Source organism: Homo sapiens, chromosome 18 (assembly GCF_000001405.40).
Source record: "Homo sapiens chromosome 18, GRCh38.p14 Primary Assembly".
NCBI classification, from domain to species: Eukaryota; Metazoa; Chordata; class Mammalia; order Primates; family Hominidae; genus Homo; species Homo sapiens.
Genome location: NC_000018.10, coordinates 5080865 through 5105124, shown reverse-complemented (window position 1 = coordinate 5105124; position 24260 = coordinate 5080865). Strand labels below are relative to the sequence as shown.

Here is a 24260-nt window from a genome sequence, read left to right as displayed (position 1 = left end):
CTTTGAACTCCTAACCTCAGGTGATCCGCCTGCCTCAGCCTCCCAGAGTGCTGGAATTACAGTCATGAGCCACCGTGCCCAGCCTAGAATACTTTAACAGTGCTACTCTAACCAGAACTTAGATCTGCCTATATAATTATTTTAAGAATAGCTATTCTTATTCAATTACTGAAACAATATATATTTATAATAAAATGTTGGAAAATGAAAAAAGTACAAAAAGGTGTATTAGTCAGGAATCTTTTGTTATCAGGTGATTAAAACCCATCCCAACTAACATGAACCAAGGAATAATTTGTTTGCTTACCTAAATAGAAAGTCAAGAGATTAGTGAAGTTCTAGGCAAATCTGGATCTAATGGTTGTAGGGTTAGAGAGGGAAACCCTTCTCCTCTGTCCTCTGAAGGTTTGATGAAAATGAATTGACAAAATCATATTGGTAGGAAAAAATGGCATACAAAATTCAAGAGAATTGTAGAAGAATGATTACCTAATAACCAGTGAGGTTCAGATGTTTATATATCCTTCTTCAAAGGAGAAGAAAAGATGGGGTTGTGGGAGTAAATAATTCAGGGGAAAAGACTGAGCCCAAAGAACAATGGCCTGGGACAAAATTCCTGTAAGCTCTGGGGAAGGTGGTAGGAAGGTGAGGGGAGGAACTTCGCTGTGAACAAAAGTTGTCTTGTTATGCAGATAAAGCCTCTTAGGTAATCTCTCAGAGCGGCCCTCAGAAGAATAAATGAAAACTGTGTCTGGGTGTGGTGATGACTTCCAGTCTCTTCTCTTCTCTGGTGGTTCATCTTTTGGGGTTACTTGATGAGATTCTTAGGGAGGAGGTCTTAAGAAAATTACATTTCTCTTCGAAAGTTTTCTTAGAGAAGGGGATTCCAAAGACAGTTCATCAGATGCTTTGGGCGCTGGGGGAAGGGGGGCAGGAGAGAGGATTAGAGAGACAGAGGGATGGGGAAGGTCAGAGAAATAACTTCGTGCTGAGGTTGATTTCTGAGACTTTTCAACTTTCTTTAATTCAAAGCACTCAGCATGCCAAATTGTCATTTTGAAGAGTATCATTTTCTTTGCCCCAACATGGCAATGCTATGTCTAATGATAATCTTATCTCTAGAGAGAATATTGATTGAGAAAATCTCTCCTTCCGCCTCCATTTTATTTCTGCTTTCTTGTCTCTTGGCTTTGTGTCAAAGGGCTGTCTCAATGAGGTGGCAAAACAACAATAATGAGTCACGCTGGAAGCCCCAAGTTAAGAATGGCTTATCAGCTGATATGATCCATGCAGGGGAGTGAAAAAACTTTTTTCCCTGTATCTTTCTAGGTTCTCTAGCTGGGGCCCTAATTTATAGACTGACAAAGTTATTAGTGCAAGAAACACAAACAGAATTCTATTAACATATACATAATACATACAGATGTAAGTGCTCAGTGATAAGTAATTCAAAGTAGTGGCTTTGGCCTTTATAGCATCTAAGCAAAAGAACAATACATTTTGAGAGAAGTCACAAGACAAAGGAAAAAGACTTTGAGTTTCTAGGACAGCAAGTTGTGGAAATATATGGAGGAACAAATGGAAGATAAGGGTTAGTTAGTAAGGTTTGTTATACAGATGCCTCTGGTGCCATCTCCAGGCTGGTAAATGTTTACAGTTGTCTCTGATGATTAACTGAGGTACTTTCTGTTGGGGCAGGGGACATCTTTCCAAATTTATTTCCTGCTTATAGGCAAATGGGGGGGAGCAGAAAGTTTTATTGTATCTGTTTCTTCTCAACTGGCTTCAGCTCAAAATAATCAATACGTCAAACTGGCATATTTTGGAATGGCATATTCTGCTATCCTTAATCCTTAGACCTTATTTTTGCTGTTTCCAGGGCATATGCTAATGGGCCAAGCTCCAGTCCTGAACGAATTACTGTGGCCAGAAGTTTACCAGAGCCTTCTGGCTGGGCCTAGGTCACATGCCCTTCTCATCACTCAGTGTTGAGAGGCGTCCAACTATCCAAAGCTCAGAGTGGGTTACCCATAAAGAAAAGGTGCTGTGTTACACAGAAAAGTAGAAAAAGGATTGTGCTCTGAGTAGAGAGAACAATAGTTACTTCATTTATCTACAGAAGAAAAGAAAATCTCCTAGAATGATACTGCTCAGAGATAATCACCAGTCACATTTTTAGGTGTAACCTTCGAATCCTAAAATAAATACCTTAAAAAAAATTAAGCTCATCCTTTATTGTATGTGATGGTTCCCTATGTTTTCTTTTTAACAACTTATTATCAACTTTGTTAGCATCATGTACTTGTACCTTTCAAATGCTGTTGACACCAGCTAATTCATCCAAGAATACATTTTACATCTTAAAGTGAAGATGTCGTTTTATCCCGTCCAAATTTTAATACTCAATATAGCTATCTGTTCTGGGCTTCAAAACTTATCTTTCCCACACCTGTTTAAATCAGAGTTCTCCAACATCGTCTCCTGTTTTCTCTGCACTACGTTATAATCATCTGCCTCGTGTGTTCATTGGTGGGGTCATTTCTCAGAACTCTCTGGTTTCTTGACCCGTCCCAGACACCTCCCTCTCCCTCTCAGATGAGGTCCAGGGCAGGACTGGGGTGAGGTTAGAGAGGTTCTTGTCTTGGCCACCAAATGTAAAAGGGATGCCAAAAAACCTCAGTAGTCAAAAGAATATTTTAATGAAATAGTTTAAAAATCCAAACTAATGGCCAGGTGTGGTGACTCACACCTGTAATCCCAGCACTTTGGGAGGCCGAGGCGGGTGGATCACAAGGTCGGGAGATCGAGACCATCCTGGCCAACATGGTGAAACCCTGTCTCTACCAATAATACAAAAATTAGCTGGGTGTGGTGGCATACACCTGTAGTTCCAGCTACTTGGGAGGCTGAGGCAGGAGAATCGCTTGAAGCGGGGAGGCGGAGGTTGCCGTGAGCTGAGATCGTGTCACTGCACTCCAGCCTGGTACAGAGTGAGACTCTGCCTCAAAAAAAAAAAATCCAAATGAATGCAAAATAAAAATTCATGATGAATTTTCAAGACTCTCTCCTTTGACCAAAACTTAAGTCAGGCTCCTCTGAGTCCTTTTTGACTATGTTCAACCTTCGGCTTCCATTTCTATCCTTGTAGAATCCAGTTTGAGCAAGAGTCTTGCTAAGCCAGTTTTGTGAAAAGCCCCCACCCTTGGTAATGACCACCTTAGATGGCTTTTCCCACTAGCATACCTTCAGTAATAATGCTGCCAAGCCAGTTTAGCCAGAAACTCTGTGATTCTTGATGTTTCCTCTTAGTAATTTTTTATCTCCCCACCCTGCTCCTTTGTTATAAATCCCCACTTATCTTTGTTGGAGTTGAACGGAGCCCAGTCTCTGTCCCCGACTGTAAGACCTCACTGCAATGGTTCCTACACCTATCACCATGACCCCCTTGGATAAAGTCTGCCTTACATTCTTTAGCAAGTGATCATTAAATAATTTTTTCTTTAACATAAATAAAATAGCAAAATTTTATTTTATTTAAGGACGGGGTCTCACTGTGTTCAGGATCAGTATTACTGATTTGCCTTTTGCATCCAATATGGCTCAGCACAAAGCTGATCTTGATCATCATTGCTGCCAAGGCACCACCAAATCCATCCTCCCCATACCTAAGTATTGCAGTGTGGAGGTTCCTCTCCTTTGTTGACTAAACTGAGGGAAGGGGGTCTCCTAGGACACCCATGATTAATTTTTGTGCACATAATCCCTGTTTATGATATCATAATTAGAAAATACAAAGAAAAAATGTAAAAGAAACTCACATTTGATTCTGAGACAGGAATAATACAGGGTGGTCCCAGGAGAATACAAATTCCAGGCAGTAGTTTCATATGACTAGAGTCTATCGGCTGGTAAGACCCTGAAAACCAGGATATGGGCCAAGCTGGCTAAGACTGACTGGACCCAACATGGCACTGGATTTGATCTAGGTTTCACCTAGGGCCTCATTATATGCTCATTAACACACTGAATCACACACCCACCAGAGCTGTGGCAGTTCCGTGACCACCCATATTTGGTATAGAAATAGGTGACACCACAGTTCTGAGAAATCTCCACATTTTTTCAGGAATTTTTTATGAATATTACACCCCCTGATTAAAGAAACCCATAAAGGTAGAAACCCCAAGCTCCACTAAGTGACTCTCTCCAGTATGCCTGTACTCCCCTTCCTTGAGTGTGTGCTTTTCCCTTTGCAATAAATCTCTGTACTTTCACTATTTTCTGGCTCATCCTTGAATTGACTCTCACAATGATGTCATGGTCCCACTAGCATTTGGGGATCTGGAGTCAAGGTCCCACAGGCATTTGAGGACCTCCTCCAACCCACCAGTATCAATTCTACTATCAAAAATCACCATGTCTAATAAGTCAGAAGGAGTGCAGGAACTTTTATTTCTGAAGGAGCACAGGAAATTTCACCCCAAAATATGGCTCCCTGGTATAATGGATATTTTGAATTAAAGACCCTTAGAGATCAACAGGCCCTGGAAGAGACTTTCTCCCATCTACGTAAGGATAGGAAGGACCTACCAAGGAGGACAATTGTTCCATTCCCTTCCCATGTCATTATTCACTGCAGAAAAGAAGACAAAGAATGTAATCATACATGAACAGATCCTTTCACAAGATTATGTTTGTCTACAAGGATCATTCAACTTGCAAATAGAACTATTTACAAGCTAATCTCTGTTCCTCCATCAAACCATTTTCCATTTATTGCCCTTCAACAGAATTCCTCTTCTCCCCCTCCCTTAATCTGTTTTGCCAGAATCCAAGCCCCCAGTCTTTCTGTAACCTCAAGATGGTATATAAGCTTCTGAACCCCATTGGGATATTAGGCAGTCACTCTGTTATTCCCCTCATGTGCAGGGTAGGAATAAATTTGTAAACCCTTTTCTCGTATTAATCTGTCTTTTTGTGAGTTGATTTTTCAGTGAACCTTCCTAGGGTGAAGGAAAATCTCCTTCACCCATGCAGTTCACATGTTGGAATACTCTTTCAGACTTTTCCCTATTTACATAGAATATGTATATACGTATACATATACATAAACACACACACAGGATTATACTATACATATGCCATATGTACCAATACACAATTTTCTCCCTTATGAATGTGTAGTAAACACCTTTTCATGTTAATAAATATATATTAATACCTACGTCCTCATTTTTAATTCTCCCTGATTCTTATAACCCTGCCTTTATGACCGCCATCTGCCGACATGGTTGTTTTCTGTGATAGGGATGTGTTAGTCCATTGTCACATTTCTATAAAGAACTACATGAGACTGGGTAACTTATAAAGAAAAGAAGTTCAATTGGCTCATGGTTCCACAGGCTCTACAGGATGCATGGCTGGGGAGGCCTCAGAAAACTTACAATCATGGCAGAAGGTGGAGAAGAAGGAGGCACATCTTACATGGCTGGAGCAGGAGGAAGAAAGATAAGGGGGAGGTGCTGCACACTTTTAATCAGCCATATCTCATGAGAACTCACTCACTATCACAAGAACAGCAAGAGGGAAATCTGCCCCCATGATCCAGTCGCCTCCCACCAGGCCCCTCCTCCAACACTGGGGATTACAATCTGACATGAGATTTGGGCGGGGACACAAATCCAAACTATATTAATGGTTTATCTTAATCTCAATTGTAGAAAAGATCAGTTGTTTCTGGGTGGAGTGGAAAGGGTCTGAGATGAGGTAGTAACATTTTTGCAAAGGCAGAGAGTGCCTTGACTTCAAAGGCCTAGGACCTGTCTTGGTCACAGGTCATAAAACGGGAAATAGGGAGGAAATGATTCTTTAGATTTGAGCCATCCCCCCCCTATCCTGCCCATCCTCACCCATTTTATAGGTCCTTGAATGACGTCTCTATTTTCATTCTTGGACATATTGTAGATTCCACCTTTCAGCTAATTTGTGGTTAGGTGAAGCCATAGGACATGTTTTGGCCATGGAAATATGGTTGGATGTTGTGGCTGTCACTTCTGGGATAAGGCAGTGTAAGTTCCTGCACAATCCTCCAATCTCTTCCCGAATAGGGAAAAAAAAGTTCTGTTGAAAGAACAAAGTCACAAAAGTGGTGTAGTCTGGAGGACAGCTTCAGATTTTACATGTGTGAGAAATACACCTTTAACAGGTTAAATCACTAAGATTTGGAGAGTTATTTTCATCACAGCAGTCTATTCTATCCTGAACGAATTCACTCCCCTTGATGGTATCACCTTGAATTATATCAGTTCTTGATCTTCACAAAGATAAGCAAAGCTGGACACTAGTTAAAGTGGTAAGGACAGATTTTAATCAGTGATAACTATTTCAATAGGGAAAAGAGTCCAGTGTGAACAAAATTCAACTTCGAGTTGTACAGAAGTGACTGGGCATTTTAAGGATAAAAGAAGGAATTAGGGAGAGGGGAAAGTAGGGGCTCAGTTAGGAAAGTGAAAAATTCCCAAAAGTGGTAAAGTGGAGTTGGTCCATGGGAAACCATGTGGGTTTTTTGACTGGCGCTTATCCAAGCTAGGTTCTCGCCTTCCCACAGAGACTAGGAGACAGGGGCCTTATCTTCAGGTGATGCCTGGAAAAAACGCAGATTCATTTGGCAGTCTTGAGTTTTCTCAGGCCAGCACTTTAAGGCTAGTGAAGAACACCTTTGGGATGTGGGGTTGAGCTGTTGGAAACTATGTTAGTGTTAAGCCTTTATAGACCACAGTTGAGATCTAGTTGAGAAGAGGGCTCAGAGGAGCCTGGGTAGAGTCTAGTGAAGGGTAGAATCTTCATCAGACCCAACGGAAAATCATCTTGAAAGCTGATTTTTTGGAAATTTACTAGTCCGGGAGCTTAGAGAGGCTTCAAGTAGATCTGTAAGTTTTTCCAGGTATAAGCCGGCCTGAAAACCTTCTTGAGAATATTTTACAATTCTGAAGCTAATGGGAAAGAAAAAGGATGAGTCTAGAAATACTGGTTTCTTGGGCAAGTTCTGTAGGTGGTGAAGAAAGGAGCTTGCTGAAGAACAGACATCTGAACATGAGAACACAGTATTTTACATGTGCACCTGGAACACGTGAATAAGGAAGCTGGTGCGAGTGGTTGCCTTTGACCCTTAGGTCTCAGACACACTTATTGGAAACAGGGATGGGGTCACCAACAAATGTGTGCTCTTCTTTCTACCTCCCAATCATTAATCTTCCTTACCTCTAAAAGACCAATACTCTGATTTTAGGAAAGAAAAACTAAAAGTTCTGGATTTTGAAAAACCTTAAGCCTAAATTGCAGACTATAACTGGGTCTAGACAAAAGATATCGAAGTATCATTAACTGAGGAAAAACAATCTCAATCAATCAAGTTTTATTAAGCCAGCTTTAGGGCTTGTCTGGGCAAAACACATTCCACAGATGCATCTATGGCCATTTTTCTGAAGAAGTTTTAGGGAGGTTTAGTATTTATACATTTCCTTAAAGAAGGGAAAGGCATGTAGGAAGAGGGGCAGGTAGATTGCAAGGCAAATTGTTACATTCCTGTGAGACTTTAGTTCCTGACCAGTACCTCTGCATTTTACATAACATAAGGTGTGTGTTTGAAGAGAAAAAGAGAGTAAAGGAAGAGTCAATTATGCAGACTTCTCTGGTAGATGGAGGAATGACTGATCACCTCTTGCCTTTATTCTGCACTTGAGAAGATAAGCTTGTAATCGACATTATCAGTGTGGAACCCAACAGACTTTAGTTTTAGGGGCTAGACTTACATTTGCAGAGCTACAGTTACAACTGCTATGAATGAGTCATGGGACAGCCCTTCCTACATGCCTGTTGCCTTTCAACATTTCCCGGGAACCTGGCTAATGCATAATGCTCCTAACAGCCGTGCATTTGGAAGAAGATGTTGCCTGACAGCTTCCAGGCTTAACCTTCCCTTTTGCATGAGGATTTCGGGGGTCCTGAGACTTTTTATTTTCCTTTATTGACATGAACAAGTGAAGGAAAATACTAGATTGTGCCAGTCAACATTATAGATATTTGAGAGTAGGCCCTTTTGTCATGGTCAGGCTGTAAGTTTCTTCAGGACCGGGATCTCTATGTCTTGTTCATCAATGTCTTTACGTAGAACTTGACAATGCCTGGAATGTTGTAGGTGCAGTTTAAAAAATTGAATGAATTTAAATAATTCTTGCTGGATACCTACTGCTGGAGGATAGGAAATGTCAACCATTTCTCAAAGATTAATGACCCATAAACATTCATGCTGTTTCAGCAAGGAAACAACTTCCTACCTTGTGAGATCTTGGCCTTTCCTGTACAGAGAGCACTAGGGGCAAGGATGCTACAGAAACAGAAAGCCAAGTGTCATTTTCTCCCCCTCCCAGCTGCTGGAGTTTAACCTCTGTGAGTGGGTTGATAATCTGGGAACTTCTGCTCTGGACTTAGTAATGGATCCTCTGCTAGTGCATCTTTTTTTTTTCTTTTTTTTTTTTTTTGGTGGTGTTTGTGAGCAGGAGAAGATTTAAGAGTTAAGGTGAGAGAGGCTATTGGTTGGGGTACAGGAGATGAAGGGAGGGAAGACTGAAGGAAAAAATCAGGGGAACAAGGAAGGAAAAGAGAAATCTTGTGCATTATAGATGTAGGTATTAGCTTATTTGTATGTCAGTAGAAATGTGGTCAAATGGTATAGGAATAGTTATTCCTATAATTTTCATCTGGTCATTATTTCAATGACCCACTTTCGGTGGGGATGGGAGAATACTTAAAATAATAGTGACTACAAAATTCACTCTATATTGAAATTCTTATTGTTGTGACAGGAGCAATTGTTTGCAAAAAAATGGTCCCTCTCCAGCCCAGACTTAAAAGCATAAGTGTGTTCTGCTTGGTGAAATTTGTGCTTAATTAGTCACAAAAGTCAGGCTGAGTCACCATTTAAAAAAAAAAAGACTCTTCTTTTGGAGCCCTGTGTGGTTGTTTGTGTTTAAGCTTGTGACGATTTTAAAATTGTTTAAACTTTAAGGCAAGGAACTAATTCTCAAGAGTTGAATTTCTGCTTGCACAAAAAGATAATTTTTACTTGGGTACTCTTGTATTAATATTATTACTTTGCAATACTGAAAATTTCATTATAGGCTGATCTGTGAGCTACTAGGCTGGGTATAGCTGCTGTGGATATTAATGTTTTGAATAGTGATAAGCACATGGGAATTATATGATATATAAAACAGTTCTGATGCTTACAATCTACTGTAGCAGCTACTTACCTCCAAGTGACTTTGGTTTATGAACACTACGTTATTGGTTTGTAAAACACCACAGGCAAGCTCATGTGGGACTCTATATCACTTCAGGGATTTCTGAGAGTCCCCAGATGATGTCCATATCCTCACCAACAAGACAGGTGAATCACCCCAGATGACTCCTGCTAGCAACCTGCTATGTGCACCAGGCATCGCTGCTTCTGTTGGGCATCGTAGCTGCCATTGAGTCTATTTCAGTAGCTCTTTAGGAGCATCCAGCCAAATTCTGAATCTAGATTGATAAGAATTAAAATGTAGGATCTGTTTTTGTAGATACCAGGTTTTAAAAGAACTACCCAGTGCTGAATTCTAGACCTTGGACTTCCTCATTTCTTCCTCATTTTGGGCAGCAACACATCTCCGTTCTATTGCAAAATATACCCTTAGAGCTTGGCCACAGGAGGAGTGAATGAGGCCTTACATTCTGTAAAGAAAACCCCCTGTTGATGCTCCTAATTCTGCCCTGCCCAGGTTAATTCTGTGAAGGCTTTTTTTCTTAATCTTTTAGTTTTATGAAATTATACCATTTTAAAGCCCTTCTAGTCATTTTTCTTTTTATTGAATTAATCTCTTTATCAATCAAGTTTGTCCAGAGGAAACACAGGACCAACATGACAGAAAGAGAGATTTGTTTTAAGCAATTTGCTAATGTGATTCTCCAAAGTCTGTAGAGCAGGCTAGAAAGTCAGGCAGGATTTATTTAATTTATTTAACTTATTTAGTTTTAGATGGAAACTTCCTATGTTGCCCAGGCTGATCTCGAGTTTCTGGCATCAAGCGATCCAAACACCTTGGCCTCCCAAGTGCTGAGACTGCAGCCATGAGCCACCACACCTGGCCCTCAGGCAGAATTCCATGTTACAGTCTTGAGGTAGAATTCTTTCTTCTCCAGGAAACCTTGGTCTCTGCTCTTAAGGCCTTTAGCTGATTAGATGAGGCCCAACCACATTATTAAGGATAAACTCCTTTACTTAAATTCGATTGATTATAGATGTTAATCATATCTACAAGATGCCTCCACAGCAACATCTAGACTGCTATTTGACCGAACAACTGAGCACCATGCCCTAGCCAAGTTGACACATGAAATTGGTCAACACAATGTCCTGCTGGTATCTCTTTCCTCAGCAGGTTGCCTACCATAAAGTTCTCTCAAGTATAAGTTTATTTATTTCAGTCAGATATTATCCTTATTGTTTTGCCAAGCAATACCCAGGCTGTCATAAAATTAGCAGTCTCAAGTGCACGTTTTAATTAACTCCTTTCATATAAATTGTGGTCTTCCATGGAAAGAAGAAATGCTAGAACATATTAGTGAAGAAGTAATTTTTTCTTCAGAAGTATACATAAAAAGGATGGACTTAAATTTGGAGGCAATCTATAGACATCTCAACTGGTTCATCTTACACAATGCTGACTAAAAAATTAAAGTTGGGCAAAGTTTCCTCTTGATGGGTGCCAAAACTGTGTAGCCCAGATCAGCTGGGAAACAAGGGCAGAGGTTTCAATGGAAATTTTAAACAAATGGATCAACATCCTGAAGGATTTATTTGAAAAGTTGTAATAGATGATGGAACACAGCTTTACTAGTACAATCCTGAAGACAAAACACAATCAAAATAATGGCTACCAAGAGGTGAAAGTGGTCTTAGTCAAAACGAAAGTGGACCAGTCAAAAGCAAAGGTCATGGTAACATTATTTGGGGATGATGAAGGCATTTTGCTTGTTCACTTTCTGGAGGACCAAAGAGTGATAACATCTTATTACGAGAGTGTTTTGAGAAAGTCAGCCAAAGCTTTAGCTGAAAAACCCCCAGGAAAGTTTCACCAGACAGTCTTTCTCCACCACCACAATGTTCCTGCTCATTCCTCCCATCAAACAAGGGCACTTTTGTGAGAGTTTCAGTGAAAAAATCATTAGGCATCCACTTTACAGTCCTAATTTGCTTCCTTATGAATTCTTTTTGTTTTCTAATCTTAAAAAAAATTTAAAGGGCATCCATTTTTCTTAGGTTAATAATGTAAAAAAACAAAACACTGCATTGACAAGGTTAAATTCCCAGGGCCCTCAATTCTTTCACGGATGGACTACATGGTTGGTATCATTGCTTACAAAAACATCTTGGCATTGATGAAACTTACATTGAAAAAGTTTATGTATTGTATTTCTATCTTTTAATTTTATTTTTCTGTGAATTTTTTGAAGTCCTTTTGTTTATCCCACACCTCCCGTCCTCAGTATATTCCTGAAATGAGATTATGGATTTATAGGATATTAGGAAAGAAAGATTCACCCAACAAGATGTCATTAGTGGTGGCACCCAAAATGTGGACAGGTGCTATGACAGATGGGCCCAGGCAGCAGGGATGGAACCTCTAGGGTCCACAGTGAAGCACTGAGGGACTGCACCTCTTGCCAACATCTCATTTTCAAAATCGTCTTCTCTCCTTGAATAAGCACACAGCTCTTTTAAGAAAATAAAATATAATGAACAAAGAGAGGTAAAATACTTTTACCTAAGCCATTCTTATACCTCCAGGTTTTCATTTAGACTATGACCCAAGGAGATACAGATCTCAGTAAAATATTTTTAAATAAAATTAACTATACCCCTAGGATAGGATTTAAAATAAATTCTTCTTTGATAGCACACCAAAGTTCATTCAGTTTGGAACCTGGAATCTGGGAAGTCCACATTCATTCTACATTTTACTTTTTCTTGCCCCCTTAACTTTTTGTTCATTCTCTTGTCCTGTTTCCTATACATGCCTCTCGTTTCATTCCAGATACAAGTCCCTTTGAGGATAGGATTGAAATGTATTTGTTTCATTCAAAACAGTTTATAGGTTGTTGTTGTTTTTCTTTTTCCTTTTTTTTTTTTTTTTTTAGTTTTTTGAGATGGAGTCCTGCTCTGTTGCCCAGGCCGGAGTGCAATGGCACAACCTGGGCTCACTGAAACCTCCACCTCCCGGGTTCAAGCAATTCTCCTACAGCTGCCTCCTGAGTAGCTTGGATTACAGGTATATGTCACCATGCCTGGCTAATTTTTGTATTTTTAGTAGAGACGGGGTTTCACCATGTTGACCAGGCTGGTCTCAAACTCACGACCTCAGGTAATCCATCTGCCTTGGCCTCCCAAAGAGGTGGGATTACAGGCATGAGCCACTGTGCCCAGCCTGTTGTTTTCTTAATAAATACTAAATACAAATTTTGAAATAGACCTTCAAGTAGAAGGAAAATATCTATAAATGATAAGTTGAACTTGTTAACTGTCTTTTCAACAACCATCCCTCTCATTTTCCTTTCTGACAACACTACAGTTATTTTAAGAGTAGGACAGTAATAGGCTCAGGAAAGATAGGTTCATCTCTGGGGATACATTATGATTGGTTTAAACCAGTATTGGTGATCTCTTTCTTCTTTACCAGTGACTGGTTTAAGAGTGGCATGTGGCCCAGTCCTAAGCCAATGAAACATGATGGAAACACAGCTGGAATTTCTGGAAAGCTCTTTCTTTTTTTCAAAAAGTGAAGCAAGCCAGATATGGTGGTACATGTCTAGAATCCTAGCTACTCAGGAAGTTGAGGTGGGAGAATTGCTTGAGCCTAGGAGTTTAAGACCTGACTGTGAAACATAGCAAGACCTTTTCTCAAAAGAAAAAAAAAAAGTCAAGCAGATGAGGAGAAATCCTTTTTCCTCCTTGCCTTTAGACCTCCTTCTGTGAGGATGTGATGCTTGAAGCTACAGGATTTATTTTGTGACCATGAGGAGAAAGTAAAGAGAATTTCAGAGAAGCATACTCAGAACCCTGACATCACGAGCTGCTGAGCTAGCCAACGGTGGAAATTCCCACTACTGAATTTCTTTGTATGTAAGATAAATGTCACCATTGTTTAGGTCACTTTCAGTCTGGATTCCATAACTTGCATCCAAAATAATTCAAACTGATATAGAAAAACATTCAAGTACATTTTGTGGTATAAACATAAATATCTTCTAGAAAGATGTTCCTGTGGGGAGCATTCCAAATCCCCCATGGGGAGTTCCAAGAAAATTTTGCCTAGAAACAACATAGCATTACCACTTGTTTACTTGGTAATATTGCCTCACTATATTGTAACCTTCAGGAGAAAGCTTCCTATCTTGATAAGACGCGAAGAACTCACAAGTTAGAATAAGCAAAAATCTGAATAGCACCAGATACTTTTAGAGGCTGGGCACAGTGGCTCTTGTTTTTCTGTAACCCCAGCACTTTGACAGGCTGAGGTGGGTGGATAACTTGAGTTCAGGAGTTCAAGACCAGCCTGGGCAACATGGTGAAACCCTGTCTCTACCAAAAATACAAAATTAGCCAGGCATGGTATCATGTGCCTGTGATCTCAGCTACTTGGGAGGCTGACGTGGGAGGACTGCTGGAGTTTGGGAGGTTGAGGCTGCAGTGAGCATGATTGTGCTACTGCAAGCCAACCTGGGTGACAGAGCAAAACCTTGTCTCAATGAATAAATAAATAAATAAATAAATAAATAAAAATTAAAAAAAAATAGAATCCAGATACTTTCAGAATCCCCTTGTGTCTGGAATTTATTCCTTCCGGTGGGTTCTTGGTCTCGCTGACTTCAAGAATGAAGACACAGACCTTTGCAGTGTTACAATTCTTAAAGATGGTGTGTCTGGAGTTTGTTCTTTCAGATGTTCAGATGTGTCCGGAGTTTCTTCCTTCTGGTGGGTTCATGGTCTCGCTGACCTCAGGAATGAAGACTCAGACCTTCGCAGTGAGTGTTACAGCTCTTAAAGGTGGCATGTCCAGAGTTGTTTGTTCCTCCCAGTGGGTTTGTGGTCTCGCTGACTTCAGGAATGAAGCCACAGACCCTCACAGTGAGTGTTACAGCTCATAAAGGTAGTGTGGACCCAAAGAGTGAGCAGCAGCAAGATTTATTGTGAAGAACAAAAGAACAAAGCTTCCACAGCATGGAAGGGGAGCCAAGCGGGTTGCAGCTGCTGGCTGGAGTGGCCATCTTTTATTCCTTTTGGCCCCACCCACATCCTGCTGGTTGTTCCATTTTACAGAGAGCTGATTGGTCCATTTTACAGAGAGCTGATTGGTCCATTTTACAGAGTGCTGATTGATGCGTTTTTACAGAGTGCTGATTGGTGTGTTTACAATCCTTTAGCTAGACACAGAGTGCTGATTGGTGTGTTTTTACAGAGTGCAGATTGGTGCATTTACAATTCTTTAGCTAGACAGAAAAGTTCTCCAAGTTCCCACCCGACCCAGAAGCCCAGCTGGCTTCACCTCTCAATTCCTCCTCTAGACAGGACACCCCAACTGCTGTTGGGAATTGGGTGATGACCGTTCTAGCTACTTCCTGCTGCATAGGGGTGAAGAAGGGGCCCTGCAGTTGTAGTGTCCTCCAGAGGGGAACTCTTTAGGCCAGTGAAAGGGCCAGCTGGTCAGTCCAGGGGTCCTTGGTATAGGTTGTTAGTTGAACTCATTTTGGGTTCCATTTGTAAGACCATCTGTAGCTTGATGGCCTTGATGCTAGAGGAAACAAATTTGACAAGGAGGTTAAAAATACAGGGCCCAAAGGGGTAATAGCAAGATGGCTGTCACAGGACCTAGAAAGGGGAGAAGCCATGTCACCCAACTCCAGAGGTTGGTATAAGAGTTTGAAAGGTGTTGTCTGATTTCAGAAGCCTTTTCCTGTAAATGCCGGGTGGCATCTTGTACTATCCCTGACTGGTTAGTGTAAAAACAACATTCTTCCCCTAAGAAGGTACAGAATCCTCCTTTCTCAGCAGTGAGGACGTCTAGGCCTCAGCAGTTTTGGAGAGTCACTGCTGCCAAAGAGTCTATTTGGGATTGTAGAGGAAGGATAGATTTTGTTATTTCTTGCAAACTGTCTGAGAAATCCTTTGAGAATGTGTGGTAGTAGGATAATACATGTTACACTGTTAACTTTTAGCAAACTTTACTTTTGTTGGAAACCTTGTAAGTTTGGGATTTCAATTATTCGTTGCTATTAATAAGACCTCATTCAGTCCATATTAACTTAGAATTCATATAGATGGCTTCTTCCTGATTCTGTAAGTACTTTAAGGTTTGGCTGAGTGCAAAGAGCTCGCACATTTGAGCAGACCAATTATTAGGTTATTTTCCTAACTCTGCTTCTACAAGAGTTTCCTTACCATTTACTGAATACTCACTGCGTTTTTTCCCCTTAATCTCCTTGGAGGAAACATCTGTCCTCCTGTCCTGAAGGGAGTTCCTCCTTGGTCTGGTCAGACCTTTGTATGGTAATTAATTAAGATTTAGATCCCCTGTTAGGACACCTGCTGGATTAAGGTTTTTAATAGGAAGGCTATGGGTTGTCAGTGGCCTCAGTGCTTTCAGGCTATGCCCTTGTTTACACTGACAACAAGGTGGTATTGGAGTGTTATGGGGTCATGGAGAAGACCTTCAATTATCAATTATAGGTTTTAATTACCCTGGCTTTTAAAGGAATAGGGTACACTGTTTTTTTCTTTACTACTTCCATCTCTCTTTCTTTTTCTTTGACTTCTTCTTTGTCTCTCTCTTTCTGACTCCCTCTTTGTCTCTTCCTCTCTCTCTTTGACTTTGTCTCTCTCTTTGACTCCTTCTTTCTCTCTTTCTGTCTCTTTCTCTTTCCTTTCTGTTGGTCTTTCCCTGTCTCTGCCAGCTGCTTATGTTGCTGTTCTCCCCTCTCCTTCCCCTTTTGATGGCTTCAGCAGCATAAGACTGCCACCTCCTTGGGTTTTCGCACTGTGTGCAATAACTCCATGGTTTCCTTGTGATATTTAATGGGGGTTCTCTCAGAGGTTAGGAACTCCCTTTCTTTCCATATTGCAGCATGGGCATATAGGATTAGATACACATACTTACTATATGTAGCAAAGTCTCCCAATTACAACTGAGGAGGTGGGAGAAATACCTGCTTACAGGCTGTCCCAGGATTCTTTGGATGGTAACGGACCTTGAGGACAGCTGTCCAGGACAGGAGATTAACCCTGAGAAAGCTGGGCAAGTGTCCAGGAGGAAGTCAATTTCCTGGCCCTCAATGGTCAAAAGTACATGGGGCTCAGTGAGGGTGATGACATGTGCTGGCGCTTGCCCCGGACACCCTCAATACTGTTTTTGGATCATTTGGTTGGGGGCTTTTGGCCCAGAGAACCTTTGCCCTCTGGGGCAGTGTGCCTTCCAGTGATTGCTTTGGCATAGTGGACATGGACGAGGGGGCAGCTTGTTTCTCATTGGACAATCTTTTTTAAAGTGTCCTTGTAAACCACACTGATAACAAGCCCTACTGGTTGATTGGCCCGCTCCATTTTCTGTCCTCTCTGAACCACCAAGGTTTGTTTGTCTGAGGGCCATGACTAAGGCTGTGGCCTTTCTCTGATCTTGCTTTCCTTTTGGACCTGTTTGTCTTGGTCCCTATTATAGAACACTGAGGTTGCCAGGTTTTAATAATGCCTCCAGATTTTGTTCAGGGCCCAGAGCTCACTTTTGGAGCTTTCTCCTGATAGCTGTGGCTGATTGGGTAATAAACTTATCTTTTAGAATCAATTAACCCTCGTGTGAGTCAGGTGACAGGGGAGTATATTTTCTTAAGGCATCCCATAGCTGTTCGAGGAAGGCAGAAGGATTTTCTTCCTTTCCCTGAGTTATGGTGGACATCATTGAATAATTCATGGACTTTTTCCTAATTCTCCTTAGTCCTTCTAGAACACAGGTCAACAGATGTTTGCAACTCCAGTCCCCATGATCTGAGTCAAGGTACCAGTGGGGATCCATACTGGGGACAGCTTGCTGACCGGCAAGGAATTTGTCCCTTTCTTCGGTAGTCATTCTATCACTTACTTAACTAAGATACCAGGTATCTCCAAACTCTCGGGCTGCAGCTAAAGCCACATTTTTTTCATTAAAGGCCAGGGTTTGATCTAACAATAGCATGGCATCTCTCCAAGTGAGATTGAAGGTTTGCCCTAGACCCTGTAGGACATCTATGTACCTATCAGGATCATCTGAAAACTTCCCCAGGTCTGCCTTGATCTGCTTTAAATCAGAGAGGGAGAAAGGGGCATGTACCTGGGTTGGGCCAAATTCCCCTCCCCCTACAGCTTGAAGGGGACATAACTGATAGCCCGGGAGTTTTTGTGATCCTTTGGAGATTTCTTTGCTTGTTTCCTTCTGGGTGGGGGAGATTAGGAGAGGCTTATCATTAATAGGAAGGGGAGCTATGGCGAGTCTAGGATATGGAGGTAAGCAGAGAGGTCCTCCTGTGGGAAGTAAATTGCAAGCTTTGCATAGTTGTGGATTCTCCTTGAATGAAAAGAAAGCTTAGACATAAAGTACTTCGCTCCATTTGCCTTCCGCCTTACAGAAAAGGTCAAGCTGCAGGATAGTATTGTAATTTATACTTCCCTCAGGTGGCCATTTTTCCCCATCAGAGAGAGAATATTGGGGCCAGGCCACAGTGCAGAAAAAAATGAGCCATCTCTTTTTCAGGGTTTTTGGGCCAAATTGGTCCCAATGGCTTAGGATGCATTTCAAGGGTGAGCCTGTTGGTGCCTGAGTGTTTCCCATCTGAAAGACAAAACTGCCTATGGTTTTGATTTGTTTCTACCCCTGCCCAAGAACCTGCAAATGGTCCCTGGACCCTGCTGATTGGAATAGTTGTGCTCACTGATGCAGCAGTAGAAACACTTCTTGCCCAAGAACCTGCAACAGTCCCCGGACCCTGTTGATCGGAATAGTTGCGCTCACCGACGCAGCAGCAGAAACACTAGTTTTCCTCCTAGACCACAAGGAGGACTGAGGAAGGTCAGATTTAGTGGCCGCTTACTGATGCATTCTCGAAAACCTGCACCCTTGCCTGTCCTCCTAGACCACAAAGAGGACCAAGAAAAATTGGATTTAGTGGCCCTTACCGACACATTATAAAAATCCTGTTAGAGTTCTAAGCATTCTCCTGTTAGTATTGGGACTTTACTCCATCCTATAAAGATGTTATGCCCCGAAAATGAAGTGGATTGCCATACCCTGAGGGAAGGAAGGGATCTCTAGGGTTGGAGGAGTGATGCCTTTTGTCCTCACTTGAATAGGAAGGATATCATTTCTGAAGCTCCCCATATCCTAGCTTCAGGAATAGCTTTTGTTAGGTCTGCTAGTCTGAGGAGGGATCCTAAAAGGATAGTTGGTCTCCCCACCTGATTGGGCTTTGGGCAAAAATTATGTCTTTCTGATTGGTGAGCCTGGGTGCCTAAAGAAGGGAATAGAGTCCTGGAGTTTATACTAGAAATCATTCTTATAGGAAAAACTAGAAAAGCACCAGAGACAGGGAGTGGTTTTTAGAAGCAGAACTAGCCTCAGAGAAGAGAGGCGAGAGGAAGTTTGTCTGACAGGCATTAGGACCCAGGGGGCATGGGTCAGGATAGATAGGATAGATGGGCGAGTCTTGCTTGGGCAACGTGACTTTGAGAGTACTGCTCATGGCCTCAGGTCAACCAACTTGTTGTCAGGACCCCGGAGCTGAATGGCTTTCCTCTCTGTCAACCCTCGGCTCAGCCCAGAAGTACAGGAAAAGCGGAAGCTGGTTCCAGGAAAACCAACGCTCCCAACTCTGAAGAATTGGGGGTTGTTAGAGAGCCCTTTCCGAGAAAGCCTGACACCCGTGTCTTTAGTCCCATGGCTGCACTAGTCACTTTTAACTGGCCGACAGGTGCCCAGTATTTAGCCCCCAAATTCTAAGGAAAAATAGGACAGAATAGTAATGAAAGGGGCCCAATGGTACTCACTGCTTGGCGATAGGCAATAGTCCCATCTGGGTCACCAAAATGTGTCCCATCTGGGTCATCAAAATGTGTCCCATCTGGGTCACCAAAATGTGTCTGGAATGTATTCCTCTGGCAGGTTCTTGGTCTCACTGACTTCAAGAATGAAGCTGCAGGCCTTCACGGTGAGTGCTACAGTTCTTAAAGATGGTGTGTCTGAAGTTTGTTCCTTCAGATGTTCAGATGTGTCCAGAGTTCCTTCCTTCTGGTGGGTTCATGGTCTCGCTGACTTCAGGAGTGAAGCCACAGACCCTTGCAGTGAGTGTTACAGCTCTTAAAGGTGGTGTGTCCAGAGTTGTTTATTCCTCCCAGTGGGTTCATGGTCTGGCGGACTTCAGGAATGAAGCCACAGACCCTCACAGTGAGTGTTACAGCTCATAAAGGTAATGCAGACCCAAAGAGTGAGCAGCAGCAAGATTTATCGTGAAGAGTGAAAGAACAAAGCTTCCACAGTGGGGAAGGGGACCCAAGTGGGTTGCCGCTGTTGGCTGGGGTGGCCAGCTTTTATTCCTTATTTGGCCCAGCCCACATCCTGCTGATTGGTTCATTTTACAGAGAGCCAATTGGTCCATTTTACAGAGTGCTGTTTGGTGCATTTTTACACAGTGCTGATTGCTGCATTTATAATCCTTTAGCTAGACAGAAAAGTTCTCCAAGTCCCCACCCAACCCAGAAGCCCAGCTGGCTTCCCCTCTCACCTTAACATTTTGTCAGGTGCAAAGATAATTTCCGATGTCTTGCTGTTAATATATATTCTAGTTATTCCTTAATAGGTGGCTAGGAAGAGGATGTCTAGTAAAAACATCTCTTTACAAACAGTATCATTTTACTCTACAACAATATTCAGTGTTTAATTTGGAAAACTCATCCTCCAGATTTGGCTTCTTCATGTTTTGTTGTTTTTTTGTTGTTGTTTGTTTTTTGAGGAACCTGGTGATTTGAAGAGTTACATGTCAAATGGGTTTGGGAAATAGAAAAATTGAATAGCTGAAAACAGGGTCTACACTTGTATCTCTTTAGTCTGCTTTTAGCTTTGACACTTCCCTACCACTTAGGTGAAGCAACTCCAACTGATTCGTTCAATGATTTCTTACCCTTTTTCTGTTCAATGTAATGAATCTTTTGCTCCATTAGGCTTTGTGCTTTCCATTATGCACTTGCTGAAGCCCCCAGTTCTTTGATATTCTGAATTCTGCATGTCTTAGGCACACTGTTCTCCCCAATTGTCACACTGATTTCTACCTGCAGTTCTAATCCAACCCCAAGTCGGTTCCAGAATAGATGATGTGCACATAAGGCATTTCAGGGCACATTTTCTGCACCAGATTATCTTTCTTTAAAGCAACCTTGAAAGTGTCTTTTTTTCTTTCCTTTCTTTTTTGAGACAAGATCTTGCTCCATTACCTAGCCTGGAGTGCAGTGACATAATTACAACCCACTGCAGCCTCAGCCTCATACACTCAAGCAATCCTCCTGTTCAGCTTCCCAAGTAGCTGGAACCACAGGTAGGTGCCACCATGTCTAGCTATCTTTTTTTAATTTATTGTAGAGATGGGGGTCTTGCTATGTTGCCCAGGCTGTTCTCAAATCCCTGGGCTCAAGTGGTCCTCCCACCTCAGCCTCCCAGAGTACTGGGATTACAGGTGTGAGCCACCATGCCCAGGCTTTTCCTTTTCTGTTGGTAAAAGCTAATGAACTGAATGCCTTGGACCACTACAAACGATTTTCAAGCTTTCTTTCATAGCTAGAAAGAAGCAAATCATGGATTACCAATCATGAGAACTCTAATGCTAGGTTTTCTAACTGTATGTTTATAGATAAATCATGGAATCTTGTGCCTCAGTTTCTTGATCTATGGTCATAGGGAGAAGTTTTTTCTATGGTTTCATTCTCTGCATCGAAAGGCTTAATTTCTTGTCAGTGATGCTATTGACACTGACAAGAAATTAAGGTTATTATTTGCCCTGACCATGAGTAAAGACAGCTCAGATATTAGTCTATTGCCTCCAAAATTCCTGAGATTTGAGGCCCAGCTTAAGTTTTGTGGTATGCCCATATTACTAATGTTTCCCCCTTATAATATTGTGCCATGTCAATGGCATAACCATCTCCCAAGCTCCTTCTCAGAACTTTCCCCAGAGTGGAGCTAGAATGCACATTGTGTTGCTTTGCCTTTACACATCTCTACTTCATTTATATTAGCCCTTCCTCCTTATAATGCTATCTTCATACAATAGGGCTTATTCTAGAGTGATGAGAGTAGTGTGTCCTTGTAAAAACCTGATATCCATTGCTCACAGTTCGATTATAATCTTGACTTGCCTCAATTTTATTATCTCACGAATGCAGACTCTCCTGGGTTCTGCCCTCTCCCTCTCTTCATTGTGTTTCTTCATGAGTTCTCCTTGATCTATGTAATTTTTAAAATAAATTGACCAACTAATTCATTATATTTCTACTAACTTCCCTTTCCTATTTTCAGTGTAATAGATTCTGTTTCCGATAAAAATTACCCCTCTACAGGAGCAATGATATTTTCTCTGTATGCCTAAGGGTATTAATAGAGATGAAAAGGATTAATATATGTAATAGCACTCTGTCCATAGCTTTATACTTTTTAATAGATAAAAACATTATTATATACAATATTAGTGTAATATTTGTTGTAACCTAATCATTTTTTTGGGTCCTGTATTTGTACTGGAGTCTGGACTTTTGGAGTCAGAATGTTACAGGAAAGGGGTCCCGATCCAGACCCTAAGAGAGGGTTCTTGGATCTCACACAGGAAAAATTTAGGGCCAGTCCCCAGGGCAAAGTGAAAGCAAGTTTATTAATAAAGTAAAGAAATAAAAGAATGGCTACTCCATAGACAGAGCAGCCCTGAGGGCTGCTGGTTGCCCATTCTTATGGTTATTTCTTGATGATGCTTTGTTGTTACAGTTATTTCTTGTTAAACAAGGAGTGGATTATTTTTAGACCATATAGGGTAACTTCCTGACATTGCCATAGCATTTATTAACTGTTATGGTGCTGGTGAGAGTGTAGCACTGAGGATCACCGGAGGTCACTCTTGCCATTTTGGTTTTTGTGGGTTTTGGCTGGCTCCTTTACTGCAACCTGTTTTATTAGCAAGGTCTTTATGACCTGTATTTTTCTTATTATACTTTAAGTTCTAGGGTACATGAGCACAACGTGCAGGTTTGTTACATATGTATACATGTGCCATGTTGGTGATGACCTCTGTTTTGTGTTGTCTTCTTGTCTCATCCTGTGACTTCAAATGCCTTAACCATCTGGGAATGCAGCCCAGTAGGTTTCAGCCTCATTTTATCCAGCTCCTATTTAAAATGGAGTTGCTCTGAGTCACATGGCTCTGACAAGAAGAGCCCTGGATTTCACTTCTTGCCATGCCATTTTCCAGCTGCGTAACTTTGGACAAGTTGCTTAATCATTTAGAGGCTTTCTCAAAAATGAGAATATTTTGATTTTGCTGGGATTAAAAATGATAAACAAAAAATGGAATGCAAAGTGTTTGGTGTAATCCCTATCTAGTTTCATGACCTGTTATTAAGTCTTACAAGTGTTTTGTGAGTTGTCTTTTTTAAGCCAATATTTTACTTTTCTTTTGTGTTGGTAGATGTTTAAATAGATTTGGGAAAATTATCCACACAGCTGACGCTCCTCCATTTCCTCACTATAAAATCTTTCTATACCATATACTTAAAGTATTGCACCTGCTCTCCTTCTCTATAGTTGGTCTCCCTTTTAATCCATTTCTCACACTTATGAAAGCATTCTTTATTTTGCCACTTCCCTTCTCAAAAACTTCAGTGCCTTGTCATGCCTTATGGGATGAAGTCTAAATTCCTTCACCTATTTCTCTGAGAAGCTGGACAACCTAGCTGCATTATACGTCACCTACCTTCTTTCTCACCACCTTTCTGCATGAATCCTCTGCTACCACCACACTACTCTACTCCCTCTCCTCTTCCCCAAATCTAAATCTGATTATCAAATCCTGACCCCACTGAGAAGTGTTTCTTGAAGACCCTAACCCATAATTATCTTCCCTTCTCTAAACACAAGTGGTTATTGCTGCATGTTGCTGAGTTGGCTGGTGAACATTTTGATTTTCCTGCACTTGCCTTACTTATTAGGCATTGAATCGCTTCCATGTCTGTTTCTCCATGTCTCTATCATCTTCCCACCTATGATCCCCTTTTCATTCCTCAGCCTGGACCTACACTTTATCATCTAAACAACACTCTCAACGGTATTCCAAATTTCTTGCATACTTTTCTTTCCATCTTCCTAGCAAAATTTAAACTCTGAATCTACTTTCTTTTTTACACCCAGCCCCAGACAGCTGAGCACTGTTGGAGAGAAATCTGCAACCATGGAGATTGGTTCAGCTACATATGTATGTCTTCAAATGTGGCAGGAAACTTAGCACCATCTGATAAACCTTTTGTTGCTTTTGGTCACCTTCCTGCCCCGCATATATCAGATCCATTTCCAAATTTGCATTATTCTCTTGTATCCTTCTCTGCTTCAAGCCCTGACTCTAGAAAGATGAGCTTGCTTCTGACTCCATAGAAAACACAGAGTCCATCAAGCATGACCTTCTTTTATTCTCTCTACCCAGTCCAATACAAATAGACAAATATACTCTCATCAATCTTTACCTGCTTTCCTCCAGCCTCTGATGATCAGGTATCTCCATTCTGGCTAAGGCCAACTTCTTCACCAGGATTCTAGAACTGATTCTGACCTACTCATTCCAGAATGTTGCTTTATCAATTATTCCTCCTGTGTCCTTTTTCCACTCCTCTCCTGATTTCTTCCTCATAGCCTATAAGAATGCTCAAGATTTTTCCCTATCTAAAACACTTCAGTTTTCTCGATCCTGCATCCTCCTCTCCCTTTGCAATTAACATTTCAAAATTCCTTGTTTCCATGTCCTTCATTCTCATTCATTTCTAATTTTCTGCATTTGTTTTCAAGAAACAATACTTGACTAAAGCCACTCTCACTACGGTATCTAAAGACTTTTTTTATTTC

At 41.3% G+C, this 24260-nt stretch overlaps 1 long non-coding RNA gene across 1 annotated transcript, besides 1 other annotated feature; it reads right to left on the bottom strand.

The window, feature by feature from the left end:
* Positions 1-6344: 6344 nt before the first annotated feature.
* LINC01892 (long intergenic non-protein coding RNA 1892) lies at positions 6345-23943 on the bottom strand. Its single transcript, NR_146900.1, has 4 exons — positions 23885-23943; positions 19897-20128; positions 9312-9579; positions 6345-6992 (listed from the first exon to the last, which is right to left on the bottom strand). It is a non-coding gene; the product is annotated as a long intergenic non-protein coding RNA 1892 (long non-coding RNA).
* Positions 7504-8021: an enhancer, noted in NCBI's record as "NANOG hESC enhancer chr18:5097103-5097620 (GRCh37/hg19 assembly coordinates)". NCBI's record gives its function as "activates a minimal SCP1, AML or CMV promoter by ChIP-STARR-seq in primed H9 embryonic stem cells {active_cell/tissue: H9 hESC(primed)}" and the evidence as "EXISTENCE:reporter gene assay evidence [ECO:0000049][PMID:30033119]".
* Positions 23944-24260: the final 317 nt, after the last annotated feature.